The sequence below is a fragment of the Homo sapiens genome, chromosome 17 (genome assembly GCF_000001405.40).
Source record: "Homo sapiens chromosome 17, GRCh38.p14 Primary Assembly".
Taxonomy (NCBI): Eukaryota; Metazoa; Chordata; class Mammalia; order Primates; family Hominidae; genus Homo; species Homo sapiens.
The window spans coordinates 45,336,743-45,338,072 of NC_000017.11; the positions used below are offsets into that span (position 1 = coordinate 45,336,743).

The following is a 1,330-nucleotide window of genomic DNA, read 5'->3' on the forward strand; positions in this document are numbered from 1 at the left end:
TCTCGTGGGTGCCTCCTCCACATGGATCCTCCCTTGGCCATGGCCTCGTGTACTCCTGGCCTGAGTCTCCTTTTTCTGGGTGGCCGCTCTCCATCTCAGGAAAGGGCCTGGAAGGGATGAGGGAGGAGTTCACAGGAGAGAGAAGAGGGCAGAGGCAAGTGGAAGAAAAGAGAGAGGCCAAGTCAGGCAAGAGGGGTTGAGAGGGAGGAGGAGGAGAGGATGCTGATGATGACATCTGACATGATTGATTAATGCATGCCTTAATTCCTAGGAGGTCAGAGCTGTTATTATCCCCACTCTACGGTGGAGGCTGAGGCAAAGTGGGCTATGAAACTTGCCCAAAGCCTTGGAGCTGGTAACTGGCAGAGCTAGAATTTGAACTTGAATAGTTTGACTCCGCCACCCCAGAAGGGTGCAGAATTCTCAAAAGACATCCCAAGGTGTGCAATGAATCGTGTTGAATGGACGGTGGGTTGTGTGTGTGTGTGTGTGTGTGTATGTGTGTGTGTGTGTGTGTGTTGGGGGGGCGGGGGGAGGCTGAAGGCTGTGAGTTGGCTCTTTTTTTTTCTTAAGAGTCAGTGTCATGGCTGGGCATGGTGGCTCACGCCTGTAATCCCAGCACTTTGAGAAGCCAAGGCAGGCAGATCACTTGAGGTCAGGAGTTTGAAACCAGCCTGGCCAACATGGTGAAACCCCGTCTCTACTAAAATAAAAAAATTAGCCGGGTGTGGTAGCGCAGGCCTGTAGTCCCAGCTACTCGGGAGGCTGAGGCAGGAGAATCACTTGAACCTGGGAGGCAGAGGTTGCAGTGAGCCGAGATTGTACCACTGCACTCCAGCAGCCTGGGCGACAGAGTGAGACTCCGTTTAAAAAAATAAAATAAAATAAAATAAAAAAGAGTCACGGTCTTGCTCTGTCACCCAGGCGGGAGTGTAGTGGTGTGATCATAGCTCACTGCAGCCTTGAACTCCTGGCCTCAAGTGATCCTCCCACCTCAGCCTCCCCAGTTGCTGGGATTACAGATGTAATCCCTGGTGTCTTTTGGCCCTGTCTGGTGAAGCGTCTTATCTTCCCCATGTAGTAACATCTCATGTACTCGGGTCAGGATCCTATGATCCTCCCACCAGAGGGAAACCTATATTCACCAGGTTCTGAGACAGCACTGTCCACAGCAGCAGTGTGAGGAGGGAGGTGGCTGTGGTGTGGGCACAGGCCTGATATCGGTCATTTCCTATCCCTGTGATCATAGGTGAGGCATTTAGCCTCATTTTCCTAAGTCACAAAATAGAAATAAGAAGTCGATCCTCATAAGGCCATGTGAAGCTGAAAC

General features: G+C 51.4%; 1 annotated feature.

Moving 5' to 3' along the window:
* Positions 824-985: a silencer, noted in NCBI's record as "fragment chr17:43414932-43415093 (GRCh37/hg19 assembly coordinates)". NCBI's record gives its function as "represses an EF-1alpha promoter that drives an FKBP-Casp9 reporter gene in an ReSE screen in K562 erythroleukemia cells {active_cell/tissue: K562}" and the evidence as "EXISTENCE:reporter gene assay evidence [ECO:0000049][PMID:32094911]".